The sequence below is a fragment of the Homo sapiens genome, chromosome 7 (genome assembly GCF_000001405.40).
Source record: "Homo sapiens chromosome 7, GRCh38.p14 Primary Assembly".
NCBI classification, from domain to species: Eukaryota; Metazoa; Chordata; class Mammalia; order Primates; family Hominidae; genus Homo; species Homo sapiens.
In genome coordinates, this window is record NC_000007.14 from 2,625,213 (window position 1) to 2,639,619 (window position 14,407).

The window sequence follows — 14,407 nt, forward strand, 5'->3', positions numbered from 1 at the left end:
TACTCATTGCTCAGCTCCTGCTTATGAGTAAGAACGTGCGGTGTGTGAGCTCACTTAGGATGATGGCCTCCAGCTCCATCCATGTTCCGGCAAAGGCCATGATTTCATTCTTTTTTAAAAAAATGGCTGTTTCCTCAGTGAGTCAGGGCTATGGGTGTGGGATGAATCTCTTCCCTTCTCGGAGCCTCAGTTTCCCCATCTCTAAAATAGGAAACTGGACGCTAAGTTCCCCCGTCGGTGACATGGGTTCCCAAAGGGGTCATAGCAGTTGGGCCAAGCCTGACATAAGTCCCAGGTCTCACAACTCTCAGCACAGTGCTCATTGCAACAAAACCTAGCTGGTGGGTGGGGCTGCGTGGACAGGCTAATTTTTTTTTTTTTTTTGAGACAGCGTCTTGCTCTGTCGCCCAGGCTGGAGTGCAGTGGCGTGATCTCGGCTCACTGCAAGCTCCGCCTCCCGGGTTCACGCCATTCTCCTGCCTCAGCCTCCCGAGTAGCTGGGACTACAGGCACCCGCCAACACGCCCGGCTAATTTTTTGTATTTTTAGTAGAGACGGGCTTTCACCATGTTAGCCAGGATGGAATCGATCTCCTGACCTCGTGATCCACCCGCCTCGGCCCCCCAAAGTGCTGGGATTACAGGCGTGAGCCACCGCGCCCGGCCTCTATTTTTGAAATGTTTTGTAGAAATGGGGTCTCCCTGTGTTGCCCAGGCTGGTCTGGAACTCCTGGCTCAAGTGATCCTCCCACCTGGGCCTCCCAACGCGATGGGATTACAGGCGTGAGCTGCCATGCCTGACCTCAGGGCACTATTTTCTTTTCTTTTCTTTTTCTTTTTTTTTATTTTTTATTTTTGAGACGGAGTTTCGCTCTTGTCGCCCAGGCTAGAGTGCAATGGCGTGATCTCGGCTCATTGCCTGTGATCACTGCAGTCTCCGCCTCCCAGGTTCAAGCAATTCTCCTGCCTCAGCCTCCCGACTAGCTAGGATTACAGGCATAAGCCACCACGCCTGGCTAATTACGTATTTTTAGTAGAGATGGGGTTTCTCCATGTTGGTCAGGCTGGTCTCGAACTCCCGACCTCAGGTGATCTGCCGTCCTCGGCCTCCCAAAGTGCTGGGATTATAGGCATGAGTCGCCATGCCTGGCCTCAGGGCACTATTTTCAATCTACACTGGGCTTGGGACTCTGAGACCCGGTCTTGATAGTCTTATGTGGCAAGTAGGGAGGTTCTGAATGAGACACTCGACTTAAGTGATGGGACTTGGGACAGAATTCTTGGCAGCTCAGAGGCCATCCCCACTGGTCTCCTGGCTCCCAGTGGCTTTCTGGACAAGGCGAGGCTGCTGGCCAGGTGAGCCCAGATAATGAGAGGTGCTCACATCCTCACTCTGGCCAGGTGTGCGTGGCTTGCTCCGTGGTCCTCTTGGGGACCATGCTGGCTGGCACCTCTCCCAGCCTCCAGAGCTGCGGGCCAGTTGCCTCAGACCCAGATTGAAAGCAGTGCTTCTGTGGCTCCCCTGCGGCCGAGATCCATCAGCCAGGTGTCTGTGGTCCGCCAGGCACCGGCTGGCTGTGCGACCACAGCATCACCCAGCCTCATCTTAGCAGGCGCCAGGAAGCCCAGCCCCGCAGCCTTCTCTTCCCGGCCAGTGAGGTCCGTCTCCACAGAAAATGTGAACCTCTTTGGATGGGGCCCAAACACAGGGAATTCCATTGTTCTGGCTTCCGCCCCAGCATCTGGAGGAGCGGTCCAGGCCTGGCCATGCTCAGCTCAGGCCTGGCCTCTCTCCGGTGCCTGCAGGCCTTTGGACAACCATTCGGGAGCCTCAACCCTGCCGCCTTCCTGGCGTAGGGGAAAGACCCTGGGAGCTCCTGGCCTGGCTGCTCCCCTCCCTCCGTGCCAGACTGCCTCAGCAGTCTCTCACAGACTTTCCCAGGCCTGGTTTTTGCTCACAATCCCTATTTCACTTGAAAGAAGGAAGGGAAGGAGAGAGGGAGGAAGAAAGGGAGATAGGAGGGAGAGAGGGAAAGAGGGAGGGAGAAAGGAAGGAGGGAAAGATGGAGGGAGGGATGGAGGAAAGGAGGGAGTGAGGAAGAGGAGGGAGGGAGAGAGGGAGAAAGGAGGGAAGGAGGGAAAGAGAGGAAGGGAGGCAGGAAAAAAGGGAAAGAGGGAAGGAGGGAGGGAAGGAGGGAGGAAAGGAGGGAGGGAGGGAAAGAGGGGAAAGAAGGAAGGAGGGAGGGAGGAAAAGATGGAGGGAGGGAGGAAAAGATGGAGGGAAGGAAGGTGGAAGGGAGGGAAGGAGAGAGGGAGGGAGGAAACGAGGGAGGGAGGAGGAAGGAGAGAGGAAAGGAAGGTGGGGGGAGGGAGAAAGGAGAGAAAGGGAGGGAAGGCAGGAGGGAAGGAGAGAAGGGAGGGAGGACAGAAGGAGGGAGGGAGGGAAGAAGTGGGGAGGGAGGAAGGGCCCCTGGAACTAGGCTGAACCCTGGTTCCCTGACCAGCTTGTGATTCTCAAGGCCTCCCATGCAATGGCGGGGACCGGGCCTCAGTTGCTCCGTCTGTAGAGTGGGACTAAAGTCCAGCCTCCAGCCACAGTGGTTGCAGGACAGATGGGAAGAACCACACAGCTCTGGGCAGTGACTGTCGGGTCAAAGCAGGTGGGATGGTGGGCGGAGCTTCCTCCATGCCCTGGCCCACACTAGATCCTCTCTCTGGCCTTCTCTCCTTTACCCTTCCTGGCAGCTGGAGGGAGGGACCCACGGAGTTTCTCTTCAACACCCGGATCCCAAGCAGCATTGCACGGGGGTGAGGTAGGGACTCTGGCTGTGTTCTTCCAGAACCTTCACTGTGGGCCCCTTATTCTCTCCACCCTGGATCCCTTTTACCAAATTCTTCCTCCACAGGCCCCTTAGGAATAGATTTCATGGCCCAAACACACTGCAAATATTACTCAGTCATCAGTACCTTTTCATCCCATACCATCAGAGGCACAGGGCGCTGGCCACCAGGAAGCTCTGAGAAAGCCGGTGTGTTTGTTTCTGGATTTGCCGTGACAAAGCTCCACAAACTGAGTGGCTTCAAACACAGACATGCATTGTCTCACGGTTCTGGAGGCCAGAAGGCTGAGATTGAGGCGGGGCGCTCTGAGGGAGGGAGCGCCCCAGGCTTCTCTGCCAGCTTCTGGTGGCCCCTCGGCGTTCAGGGCTGTGGCGGCATCCCTGAGATTCTGCCTCCGTGTTCACACGGGTGCTTCCCTCTGTGTCTCTGTATCTCTGAGTCTGTGTCCAAATTTATCTTTTCTTATAAGGACACCATCTTTGCATTAGAGAACACTTTAACCCAGTATGACCTCATCTTCACTGGATTACATTTGCAAAGACTCTCATTTATTTATTATTTTTTTGAAATGGAGTTTCACTCTTGTTGCCCAGGCTGGGGTGCAATGGCGTGATCTCGGCTCACTGCAACCTCCGTCCCCCCGGGTTTAAGCTGTTCTCCTGCCTCAGCCTCCTGAGTAGCTAGGATTACAGGTGCATGGCACCACGCCCAGCTAATTTTGTAATCTTAGTAGAGACAGGGTTTCTCCATGTTGGTCAAAGTGGTCTGGAACTCCCAACCTCAGGTGATCCGCCCGCCTCAGCCTCCTAAAGTGTTGGGATTACAGGCATGAGCCTGTCACCCAGGCTGGAGTGCGGTGGCACGATCATAGCTCACTGCAGCCTAGATCTCCTAGGATCAAGTGATCCTCCCGCCTTAGCCTCCCAAGTAGCTGGAACTACTGTGGTGGCACAAGCCACCACACCCAGCTGATTAAATTTTTTTGTAGAGAAGGGTCTCACTATGTTGTCCAGGCTGGTCTCAAACTCATGGCCTCAAGCGGTCCTCCTGCCTTGGCCTCCCAAAGTGCTCGGATTTCAGGTATGAGCCACTGCTCCCGGCCCCTTTCTTCAAAGAAGGTGACGTTCACAGGTGCCAGGAGTTAGGACTTGAACATATCTTTTTGGGGAACATAATTCAATCCACTACACCTGAGTTATCATTTCTTTCTTTCTTTTTTTTTTTTTTTTTGAGATGGAGTTCGCTCTGTCACCCAGGCTGGAGTGCAATGGCGCAATCTCGGCTCACTGCACCCTCCACCTCCCGGGTTCAAGCGATTCTCCTGCCTCAGCCTCCCGAGTAGCTGGGATTACAGGCATGTGCCACCATGCCTGGCTAATTTTTGTATTTTTTTGTAGAGACGGGGTTTCACCATTTGCCCAGGCTGGTCTCGAACTCCTGACCTCAGGCGATCTCCCCTGCCTCGGTCTCCCAAAGTGTGGGGATTACAGGCGTGAGCCACTGTGCCTGACCCTAAGTTATCATCTCACATCATGTCTGCATCAGACTTTCTGGCTTTATCAAAAGGAAAGGTACAATTTTGCCAGGCTTCTGGAAACAGGGGAAGGAACTCCTGTACCCCCTGCCTGCATGTGTGTACCCTGGCAGGGCTGCCAGGCTGGTGTGGAGGGCACTGGAGTTGTGGTGGGGGGAAGCAGGAGGTCTGTTTGTGGCCATGGGAGCTGCTGCTAACAGCAGGAACCAGAAACGATCTCAGGCCATGAGGACAATTTCTGCAGCTGGCCAGGGACTGCCCTGTTCATCCCTGGAGTTATGCGACACAGAACTCTGAGGTCAGAGTCAGCCCAGGGCACGGGCCGTGCAGGCGATCCCCTGGCTGTGGAGATGAGGTCACAGGCTGGATGCTGGAGCAGTGTCAGGCTAGGAGTGGGCGTCCTGCCTAAGCCACCTGTTCACAGTGAGCAATCAGCTGGCGCCAAAGAAGAGGACTCACCTGGCCAGGTACCAGCCCACTCCAAGTAGGTAGCCTTGGTCTTAGGGGGTTGGGGGGGGCTTCATTCTGCCTGGAGCTCCCACCATCCTTGGCATTGGAGAGAGAGGAACCTGAGCCAGTATCCCCACCCCACCCCAAATTTCTGGCTCTTCGGCCTTTAGGGATGGAGAATGCGACCTCCCCCCTTCTGCCTGGCTGTTATTTCCCAGCTGGGTGGTGTCTCCAAGTTATCCAGCGGGTGGAAACCGCAGCTCAGCTAGTCCCTCTTGCCCGGTGCCCTATCACAGGAAAACAGGCGAGTCAGGGCAGTCAATGAGCCAAAGTCCAGGCCTCCTGGGAAGACACTGCCCGGAACCGTCCCTGCCTGCAAAGAGCTCTTCCTGCCAGGAACGGCCTGCCTGCCCACAGAGCTGGCCAAGTCGGGCACAGCAGATGGTGGAGCCCGGGTGTGGAAACCTGTTTCTCAGTACACAGGAGGTCCAGGAATAAGGCCCCAGGTGATGAAGCAGAGCCAGGATGCACCCACTGCCCTAGAGTGCGGAGGGAGGCGTGCACCTGGGCCCAAGCACGCACTATGTCCATCCTCCTGGCTCTGGCAGCTCCCATCTCCCCTTTAGCAAAGGAGGAGGCACAGGCATGGGGAGGCCCTGTTAGGAAATTTGGCTGTGTGGCTCCAAAGCCCATGATGGGCCCTCTCTGGCAGGTGCCTGAATTTTTAGGCCCCAGGACACCAGAACAGGGCACCGTCTTCATCTTAGGTCTTGACAAAAGACTCAACCTTCCCCAGAGGGAAGGCCGGATGGGGACTGAATCTACCTGCGGATCCACTTAACACTCGTACCTTTTTAAAAAAAATTTTTTTTATTTTTGAGATGGAGTCTCACTCTGTTGCCCAGGTTGGAGTGCAGTGGCGCAATCTCCACTCACCGCAACCTCCATCTCGCAGGTCCAAGCAATTCTCCTCCCTCAGCTTCCAGAGTAACTGGGATTACAGGCGCCCGCCACCACGCCTGGCTAATTTTTGTATTTTTAGTAGAGACGGGGTTTCACCATTTTGGCCAGGCTGGTCTCGAACTCCTGACCTCAGGTGATCCGCCTGCCTCGGCCTCCCAAAGTGCTGGGATTACAGGCATGAACCACCACCACGCCCTGCCAACACTCGTAGCTTTATCATCCCCTTTTACAGACAAGGACACCGATGCACAGAGTGGTTAAGTAACTTGCCCCAGATCACACAGCTCTAGGTGCCCCAGCCAGGCCCTGAATCCAGATCATGTCCATTGTACAGATAGGCCACTCGGTGCCTTGCTGGGCGCTGCGGGCTGTGGGCTGTTGTGTGTGCAATGGGGAGGCCAAGACCAGCCCAGCCCACCAGGCCGGACCCTCGAGTCAAATAAGAAACATGCAAAGATCCAAACGAAGAGCGAATTCATGGAATGAAGCGCAGCTGCATATGCAGCCAGGGTTCCAGCCCCCACGGCCACGTGGAAAGACTGGCTGGCCCGGGTCTTACAGCGCTGAGGGTCGGTCTTCCAGCGCCTTAGGGGCCAGGCGTCCCTCCAAGAAGGCGAGGAAGTAGGCGGAGCTTCTGCCGGCGGACTAATGACGGTACAGAGGCGGGGCCGAAGGGCGGGGACACGTGGAGGGGCGGGGCCATTGGGTAATGGGCGGGGATGCGAGTGGAGGGGCAAAACCATCAGGTAAAAGGACCAATAGAGGTTCAGGAGCGAGTGGGCGGGGCACGCTGTGGGGCGGGATCGGCGGGGGATAGACCAATGGTGGGTAAGAGGCGGGACAGAGGGCGGGGCGCGCGGGGGCTGGGCTGGCGGGAGGCGGGCCAATGGAGGCTCGGGGGCGGGGCCGGCGGGCGGACGGGCGGGGGTGCGGAGGGGGCGGCGGCGGCGGCGGCGAACAAAGAGGCGGCGGGCGCGGGCGGCCGAGCGGAGCCGAGCGCAGCCGAGCCGGGCCGAGCCGGGCCGGGCCGGGCCCAGGAGCGCGCGGATGATGCGGGCGGCCAGGCGGGGGTCGACGGGTCCCTGAAGCCCGCGCCCCGGGCCAGCAAGGGAGCCCCGCGCAGGCCGCGCGCATCCGGAGGCGGCCGGGCCCCGCCATGGCCGGGGTCAGCTACGCGGCGCCCTGGTGGGTGAGCCTCCTGCACCGGCTGCCCCACTTCGACCTGAGCTGGGAGGCCACTAGCAGCCAGTTCCGGCCCGAGGACACCGACTACCAGCAGGTGACATGGGCCTCTCGGGGTCGCGGGGTCAGGGACCCCAGGTCACGGCCCCCTCCTCTCCCAGGGTCACGGCCCCCATCCCCGAGGGCCTAAAGACCCCTCATCCCCCCCTCCAGGGTCACGGCCACCTCCTCCTCGCAGGTACCGGCCTCCTTCCTTCTCGAGGGTCCCTTCTGAGTCCTAGGACCCTTTCTTCCAGGGTCATGGCCTCCTCCTCAAAGGTCTAAATACCCTCCAACCCCCAGTGAGGGTCCACGGCCCCCCTCCCGATTCTGGCCTTCCCTTCTGGTGTCACTAAGGCCCCTGGGTTTCATGGAGCTGCCTCTCCCCACTCCGTGAGCCCCCTTGGCCAGTGGAGGGCCTCTCCACCATCACTGTTGGCGGCCTGGTGCTGTGTCCCAGCAGAGACCCCTCCCCAGATGACCCCCAGGCTCTGAGATCAGAGCGGGTGCCTGAGCACATTGGGTGCAGGCAGGCAGAGACTCCTCGCCCACTCACCCCCGACTGGGGAATCCCACTGCCAGGCTTCCAGTGGGTGAATGGCCTGGGCCGCCGCCAGCCCTCTGTGGCCGGTAATGACCCCCTGCTTGGCGGTCAGGCTGTGGGATGTACACAGGGTGCCGTGTGTGGCCGTGGGAGACCAGGCTGCCTGTAGCCCCCGGGGGAGGGAGGCCCGGCGGCCAGGAAGCACCGTGGGCCTCAGGCAGGGAGGCTGGAAGCGGCTGAGCCCAGGCAGACCTGGGGGGCGGCTGGGGGCCCTTTGCAGCCCTCTCCCAGGGGAGCCCTTAGCCTGGCATCATGCCAGGCCCCAGCACCACCCCCATCGCCAAGCTACTGTCATTTGAGTGCGGGGCAGGGGACCAAGCTGTGGGCATTTCCTTCCTGCCTAGAGATCCGGATTCCAGAAGCCCCGTGACCAGGGTCCCTGGTCACCCGGAGTTTCTCTCTGGACGGATCATGGCAGAGCCCCATGGTGGGGTGGGGATGGCTTTGCTTATCAAAATGGCTTGGGAATCCGGTATTCCGCGGGCAGCCTAGCACCTGGACTCTTCAGAACTGCGTTGTCTGTGGCCTCCCGCATCCAGAGGAGGGAGGCGGAAGTGGAGGAGCAGGGCACCTGGGAGCCCACTGCTCCCAGCCTCGCGCTCACTTGCACCCAGGCCCCCCAGCCGAGCCGATGACGTTTCCTAACAGATGAGGAAGGGGGCGAGGGATCGGCCCAGGCACGCCCAGACACAGCAGGGAGGAGGGAGGCGGAAGGATTGGTATAAAATCTCACGCCTGCGTTCTAGAAGCCCAGCCCTGGGGGACCGTTCAGTGTGGGGGCAATGCACATTCAGGAACTTCTGGAACTTATTCCATGCTGATGGCTTTGCCACTTGTCCCTGGAGGACTCTGTTGAAGCTGCAAGGAGGGTGTGCTTCACTTTGGAAAGTTCTCTGCCCTGAGGGTTTGGCCCATTTGTCAGTTCTTAAGCTCCGGGGCAGCCCTGGGGCGTGGGGGGCGGCTGTTTCCTGCTGCCCCTTGGGCTGCCACCTGCCCGAGCTGCCAGCCACAGTTGGACTTCCTTCCAGCCCTCCGGGGTGCCTGCATTCCCACATTCGAGACAGGCAGTGAGAGGGAGTGAGGGGCGATGATGTCTGCAGCCCACAAGAGCCTCCGGGCAGTAGCCAGGCCCCTCTGCTCAGCCTGACCTGCCTGGCCTCCAGCAGGGTGCTATGGCCCTGGGAGGCCCTGGCTTCTGCCCCCTTTCCTCCCCTGCCCTGCGCTCTGCTCTGCTGTGGGAGGGCTCTGACTCACTCTCTCTCCTGCCTCATCTCCACAGAGCAGAATTAGCCACTGAATAATTCACGATGTGGAAACCGGCCTGCCTCCATCCCCCGCCGCCTCCACTCCCGGCTCTTGGCGAGGGGCTGTGGCGTGAGCTGGTCCTGGCGTGCGTCCTGCCCCTGCCCTTCCAATACTGGTGCTTTTCGGCAACTGCTTGGTGTCTCTGAGCCTTCATTGCCTCATCCTGAATCTGGGCTGGCCGTGCCTCCTGTGTAGGGTCACCCCTGGGAGGCAAGGGCCAGGAGCCCCCTTCCTGGGAGAATGGGCAGTGGGTGGGCCTGGGCTGTGGCAGGCGCCCCTTCCTGCCTCCCCTGGTGAGGAGTTGCTGGCTGTAGTGGGGGGTGGACCCCTCACCCATCCTGACTGAGGGCTCCCTCTTAGCTGTCTCTGTGCTGCCCCAACCTGGGCTGTGCCCTGCTGGGGAGTGGGCATCTGCCCCGTGGTTATGGGGGCGGGGGGATGGAGGGGAGGTGGGGCCTGGGGTTGGGAGTTGGGGGTGTGGCACGGGGGACTGGCCTTTGTCCTTTGCTATTTCTGGCCCCCGTGGTCTGCTGTTGGGAACCCTGGTGAAACCCCCGGAGGGACCAGGGCCAGGTCCTGTTTCAAGGCCCTGCGTGGGACTGCCTGTCACTAGTCACTTTTCCCACAGCCCCAGGAGGTGGGGAGAGTTGTCCATTGTACAGATTAGCAAACTGAGGCTCCGAATCACATAGTGAGTAAGTGGTGGGGCCGCAGCCCTGCTGTAGGTCCCTCGTCCGGCCCCCCGAGGAGCCGGGGTCAGCCTGGAGTCGCAGGCTCCCCGGATTCCCCCACGGCTGCCTTGCCGCTGGGGGTGTGACCGTGGGATTAGAAGCTGATGGGGGCTGAGGGAGCTGTGAGAGGGCAGGGGGTGGAGGGGCATCTGGGGTCGGCTCTGTGCAGCTCCCCAGCCAGTGACTGTCGAGAGGGGCTCCCGTGCTGCCTGAGCATCTGAGTGAATGGGGGGCTGTTGTTCACAGGAGGGATTTGGAGGCCCACAGGAGGCCTGAGACTCCCTGGTGGCCCTGCAGCTGAGCTGGCAGGGCTGGGCCTGAGGCCTCTGGCGTGGCCCGGGGCCAGTCAGTGCTGCATAGTGAGTCCTGAATGTCAAGTGGGTCTGGCTGTCCTGCCCCGGGCAGGGGCCCTTGAGGGCAGCAGAGCCTTCTCTTCAGCTAGAGCATCGCAGGCCTGCACCCTCGCTCTGTCGCTTCTTCCTGCGTGACCTTGGGTGGTCCAGACACTGTCCTGGGCTTTATTCGGGGGAGGCCTGCCTGCTCAGCTCCCACCAGCCCTTTGTGACCCCGTGTCCTCAGGCAGGGATCAAGTTCATGCCCACTGACCTCAGCCTCTCTCTCGGGCTGTCTCCTCCAGCTCAGGGCAGGCCAGATGCAGGACAACAGCTACGGACTGTGGTGGGTTGCGAACCCAGGCGGTGGGAGCCCAGTGGTCAGGGAAGGCTTCCTGCAGGAGGTGGTGTTAACTGGCTTGCCATGGAGGTTGCAAGCCCGGCTGCCGACAATCAGAGGGTTAGGATTTGCCTGCTCATTTCTGACTCCTCCATGGGCCGTGCTGGCCCTGGCAGGTGATGGTTTCACTGGGACATCTGCCTTCCAGGGCAGATAGTGGGCCCTGCCTCAGTTTGCCTAGCATGGGGGACGTGTTTTCCACTAGAGCCTGGAATGCCCAGATGTTTCTGTTGAGACCTTAATGATAAGACTGAGGTCACCATACAGAGACCTTGGGGAAGAGCTTCTGGGCTGGGGGAACGGCAGGTGCAAAGGCCCTGAGGCAGAGAGAAGCTTGAGCCTCGGGGAGAGGCCTCAGCCCCACGTGCCAGAGGGTCGCTCTGGTCTGACTGCGCACGGGGAATGTGCTGCCTCAGGAACTGGTGAGCCCTCTGTTCCAGGCACTGTGCCAGCCCAGGCTGGATGGCCACTCAGAGGGGATCTGAGCTCTGGGAGTAGGGCCAGTGTTCTCCTAGCAGAGTTGGGAGCCTGGCTCCTAAGAGCACAACACCTCTGTCTGTGCCGCCACAAGGTGAGGTCAGCCTTGTGCCCAGTTGCAGCCTGGGGGGCAGTTCCCTGGGGCAGGGCTGGCCTGTTATCATCCTCCCCACTCATCAGAAGGAAATGAGTTCTGGTTAAAACGGCAGTGTTGGTCGCCTGTCGCCTGTCTTGTCATTTACGAAAGCAGTACACGTTCATGGAACATTTGGGGAAAAGGGAAGAGCGTGAGACAGAAGCGTCCCTCCAGCTGGGTTCAGTCCAAGAGCATAGAGCTGTAGGGTGGGTGTCCCTGAGAACTGGAATCCTATTGCTTTTGACATGTCTCGTACTTTGGACCGTGTTCCAGATGCTTGTCCAGCGTCCCACGGTGCCAGGCAGGATTCTGTACCTACAGATGACAGAAGCGGGCCAGACACGGAGGCCCCCGGGGAGCTGGGTGGAAGCTTCAGGAGCAATCCCTGAGTGGACAGGAGCTGATGAACTAGGCTGGGGGTGTACAGCGAATGGGACCCTGCATTGGGGGGTGGAGGTGGGCAGGAAGCCCCTGATGGCTGGTCCCAGTCCACTCAGGATTTCCATCTTGGCCGGTGTCTGCATTCCTGGGGAGACTCCGATTGGCTGAGCTTGCCTTTTGGCCAGGGGGTGTGAAGCTGTGGGCCCTGGACCTGCTTGGGGTGGGTGTCAGGCCACCCTTGGCCCGGCCGCTGCCCGCATCAAGGGTTCCTATATCTGGGCTCCTGGTTTTTGTGGTTCTGAGGGTACTCTGGCCACCTCTGTCCCCAGGAGACTCTGGGGTTCTCAAGCCCCTTCCTTGGAGTGCAGCAGCCTGGGACCCTCTAGAAGTCCCCGAGGTCTTCACGGCTTTTTGTAGGTGTGGATGTTGGGGTGGTTATTCTTGCTCAGGGTGCTGGCTCCCTGATCTCCCCAGTTCTAGCATCACCAGGGGCCACTCCAGTCTGTGTGTGCGGGACCCCCGCCTGCCCCCCACTCGCCTGAGACTCGAGGGCCAGCTCTAGGACCCCTCTTCTGGGCATCTCCATGGTGACCCTTCTTCCTCCCCTGACCCCTGGGCAGGCCCTGCCAGCCAACCCCGTCTAAGGGATTTGCAGTGTCAGCCGCTCTGACCCCCGGCCGGGGGCTCTTGGTCAGGCTCTGGGGGAGCGGGGAGCCCTGCAGCTTGGTTCCCCAGGCCACGGCGGCTCTCCCCGGATGCTTGTGCTGCTCGTTTCTAAAGCACTTTTCTTGGAGAGCCACCCAGTGGCCCTGGGAGGTGGACACTGTGTCCCCGACATAAGCAGAAACGGGGGCCGGCCAGCATGGGGGGCCGGAAGACTGGGCACGGGTTCCAGCTGCAGCCCAGCCACGTCCGTCCCAGTGGATACAGCGTCAGCACAGTTCGTGAACCCAGGGGTGCAGGTTTAGGGGGCTCAGGGGCATCTACACTTCCCCCACCTGCCCCACCGTCAGTTCTGCTGAGGCCTCGGCTAGAGAAGAGGAACCGAATCTGCAGCCAGGGGCCTGGGGTCAAGGACATGGGAAGTGCCTGACGTGGCCACCGGGGAATTGGCATGTGACAGCGGGTGGATGGTGGGTGTGGGAGGGTCACAGGAGGGCCTCCTGTACCCGGGCCTGCCGCTATGTTCTGCAGGGAGCCCACCCAGGCCCTGTGCTGGGCCTCACACCATCCGAGGGGGCTTCTCACAGTCTTGGGAGGCTGGCTGAGACCTGAGTCCTGTGGGGCAGCACCCACTGTGGCTGGGTCAGGCCCATGTTGGCCGAGGGTGTGGGAGGAAGCCGGGCCACCCACAGAGTGCCAGTGCCTTCGGCCTCTGAGGAGGGTACCAGCCACAGTGCCCCTAGCCGTTCTGCCCCCCTCGGGCCTGTGCACGCTGGCTGGGTTCCTGGCCATCGTGGAAGAGCACTCCTGAAGTTCTGGGGTGCACCCAGCTCTGAGCCCTGCAGCCCTGTGTCTGGGGTTCGGCCGTGCCCTCTGGGCTGCCTCTCCCTGGTAGGGAGCTGATCCCGGAGATGGGGCTCCAGTCTGGCGGCTCCTGGCTGGGTCTGAGGCCTGGGGCCCGGTCCCCAGGCAGCTGGTGCAGAGGGCTGCAGACAAGTGGGAAGAGCAGGGGATTTTCCGGGTGTCACGCTGGGAGATGTGTCGGAGCACGGGGACCAAAATAGACACGCTTGCTGCAGCTCTTTGGTGTCTGTTCCTTGCACGAGGGGGAGGGCGGGCGTGGGCAGCGGGAGAGCTGGGGTCCCCCGGCTACAGGGTGCAGGAAAGGGGCCCGGCCTGTGGGGAGACGGGCAGGAGCGGCTCTGAGCCTCAGCCCCAGGGCTGCCTCTCTGGCCTCCTTCCAGGCCATTCCTGGAGGGTGAGGGCCAGCCCGGAGGGAGCCCCGGGGGGTGTGGGGCCATGTGCAGCCTGGCGACCTGGACCTCGGACCTCAGGAGTTGGGGACAGGGACACAAAGTTGGCCCCGACCCCGGCTCCCACGTGGCCGCTGCTGGCTGCACGTCCTCCAGGCACGGCCAGGAGCTCACCGTCATGGAATGCGTGAAACCCAAACCCAGCCTGGTGGAAAATCTGTTTTTAATTTTGGGCCAGTGTCGCTGGGAGCCTGGGCCGAGTGTGCTATGGGTAGGGGCTGGGGCCACGTGTCCAGCTTGGCCGCATGGGGGGCTGAGGCCTAGCCAAAGACTGTGACCCTGGACCCCCCACTTGTGCAAGGGGACCCACGAGGCAAAGGTAGGGGGACCCACTTCCCAGTGGCGGGCCCCTGACATGGGGGTGGTGGTAGTGGCTCGCACACGCCGAGCCCACCCTGGCCTCCCCAAACAAGTCTGGGCCCTAGGGATCCCGCCCCTTTCCTGACCCTGGCCCAGGACACCTGGGGGGTTCTCACAGTGCTGGGGGCCAGAACCCCTCGGTCTGCACTGGGGTGTGGGACCCCAGCCAGCCTCTCAGACACCCCCAAACCTTGTTGCTTCCTCTGGAGGAGGGGCCTTGGGAGTTCCAGGGCTGGAGTTCAGCATCCGTGGAGGCAGGTGGGGGTCACTCCCCTCCCACTCCCACCTCTCGCCTGCCACGTCCTCCCGGAGCCCCGTGCTGCTGCCATACGCACAGGCTCAGGCCAGGGCCTGGCTGGTCCCTGCTGCCAGTGTATCTTCGGCATGCAGGAGACGTTTGCCGCCTGGACCCTGTGCCAGGCCTTGGCTGACACTGTCCCCGGGCCAAGAGTGCCCTCCCCCACCTGTTGCGGTACCCACGATGCTCCCCACAACGGGAGTTTCAGTGACCGCCTCATTCCTCTTCCTGCCTCCCACAGCCTCCGAGCTCACGGGGCCAGCACTGTGGGCACAGGGGAGCCCCCGACCTAGCGCGGCCGAGCTGTCTGTCCAAGCCTGGGCCCCAGCACCCAGCGCAAGCTGCTGCTAAGATGCCCTGGAAGCTGATGCTCCCAATTAGCCCGGAGCCCAGCCAGGA

The 14,407-nt window shown here is 60.9% G+C and overlaps 1 protein-coding gene across 1 annotated transcript in view, besides 8 other annotated features; it reads left to right on the forward strand.

Moving 5' to 3' along the window:
• Positions 6,199-6,930: an enhancer, noted in NCBI's record as "H3K27ac-H3K4me1 hESC enhancer chr7:2671045-2671776 (GRCh37/hg19 assembly coordinates)". NCBI's record gives its function as "activates a minimal SCP1, AML or CMV promoter by ChIP-STARR-seq in naive H9 embryonic stem cells {active_cell/tissue: H9 hESC(naive)}" and the evidence as "EXISTENCE:reporter gene assay evidence [ECO:0000049][PMID:30033119]".
• Positions 6,199-7,124: a biological region, named in NCBI's record as "H3K27ac-H3K4me1 hESC enhancer GRCh37_chr7:2671045-2671776".
• Positions 6,715-7,124: a silencer, noted in NCBI's record as "silent region_17882". NCBI's record gives its function as "represses an Ori minimal core promoter by ATAC-STARR-seq in GM12878 lymphoblastoid cells {active_cell/tissue: GM12878}" and the evidence as "EXISTENCE:reporter gene assay evidence [ECO:0000049][PMID:35858748]".
• Positions 6,774-14,407, forward strand: part of TTYH3 (tweety family member 3) — a 32,817-nt gene continuing 25,183 nt past the window's right edge. Inside the window, exon 1 of the mRNA NM_025250.3 lies at positions 6,774-7,066. Coding sequence (NP_079526.1) covers positions 6,944-7,066 — 123 coding nt within the window. The 5' untranslated portion in view covers positions 6,774-6,943. The remainder of the gene's footprint in view (positions 7,067-14,407) is intronic.
• Positions 7,663-8,395: an enhancer, noted in NCBI's record as "H3K27ac-H3K4me1 hESC enhancer chr7:2672509-2673241 (GRCh37/hg19 assembly coordinates)". NCBI's record gives its function as "activates a minimal SCP1, AML or CMV promoter by ChIP-STARR-seq in naive H9 embryonic stem cells {active_cell/tissue: H9 hESC(naive)}" and the evidence as "EXISTENCE:reporter gene assay evidence [ECO:0000049][PMID:30033119]".
• Positions 8,175-8,284: an enhancer, noted in NCBI's record as "active region_25539". NCBI's record gives its function as "activates an Ori minimal core promoter by ATAC-STARR-seq in GM12878 lymphoblastoid cells {active_cell/tissue: GM12878}" and the evidence as "EXISTENCE:reporter gene assay evidence [ECO:0000049][PMID:35858748]".
• Positions 9,128-9,860: an enhancer, noted in NCBI's record as "H3K27ac-H3K4me1 hESC enhancer chr7:2673974-2674706 (GRCh37/hg19 assembly coordinates)". NCBI's record gives its function as "activates a minimal SCP1, AML or CMV promoter by ChIP-STARR-seq in primed H9 embryonic stem cells {active_cell/tissue: H9 hESC(primed)}" and the evidence as "EXISTENCE:reporter gene assay evidence [ECO:0000049][PMID:30033119]".
• Positions 11,887-12,560: an enhancer, noted in NCBI's record as "H3K27ac-H3K4me1 hESC enhancer chr7:2676733-2677406 (GRCh37/hg19 assembly coordinates)". NCBI's record gives its function as "activates a minimal SCP1, AML or CMV promoter by ChIP-STARR-seq in naive H9 embryonic stem cells {active_cell/tissue: H9 hESC(naive)}" and the evidence as "EXISTENCE:reporter gene assay evidence [ECO:0000049][PMID:30033119]".
• Positions 12,561-13,232: an enhancer, noted in NCBI's record as "H3K27ac-H3K4me1 hESC enhancer chr7:2677407-2678078 (GRCh37/hg19 assembly coordinates)". NCBI's record gives its function as "activates a minimal SCP1, AML or CMV promoter by ChIP-STARR-seq in naive H9 embryonic stem cells {active_cell/tissue: H9 hESC(naive)}" and the evidence as "EXISTENCE:reporter gene assay evidence [ECO:0000049][PMID:30033119]".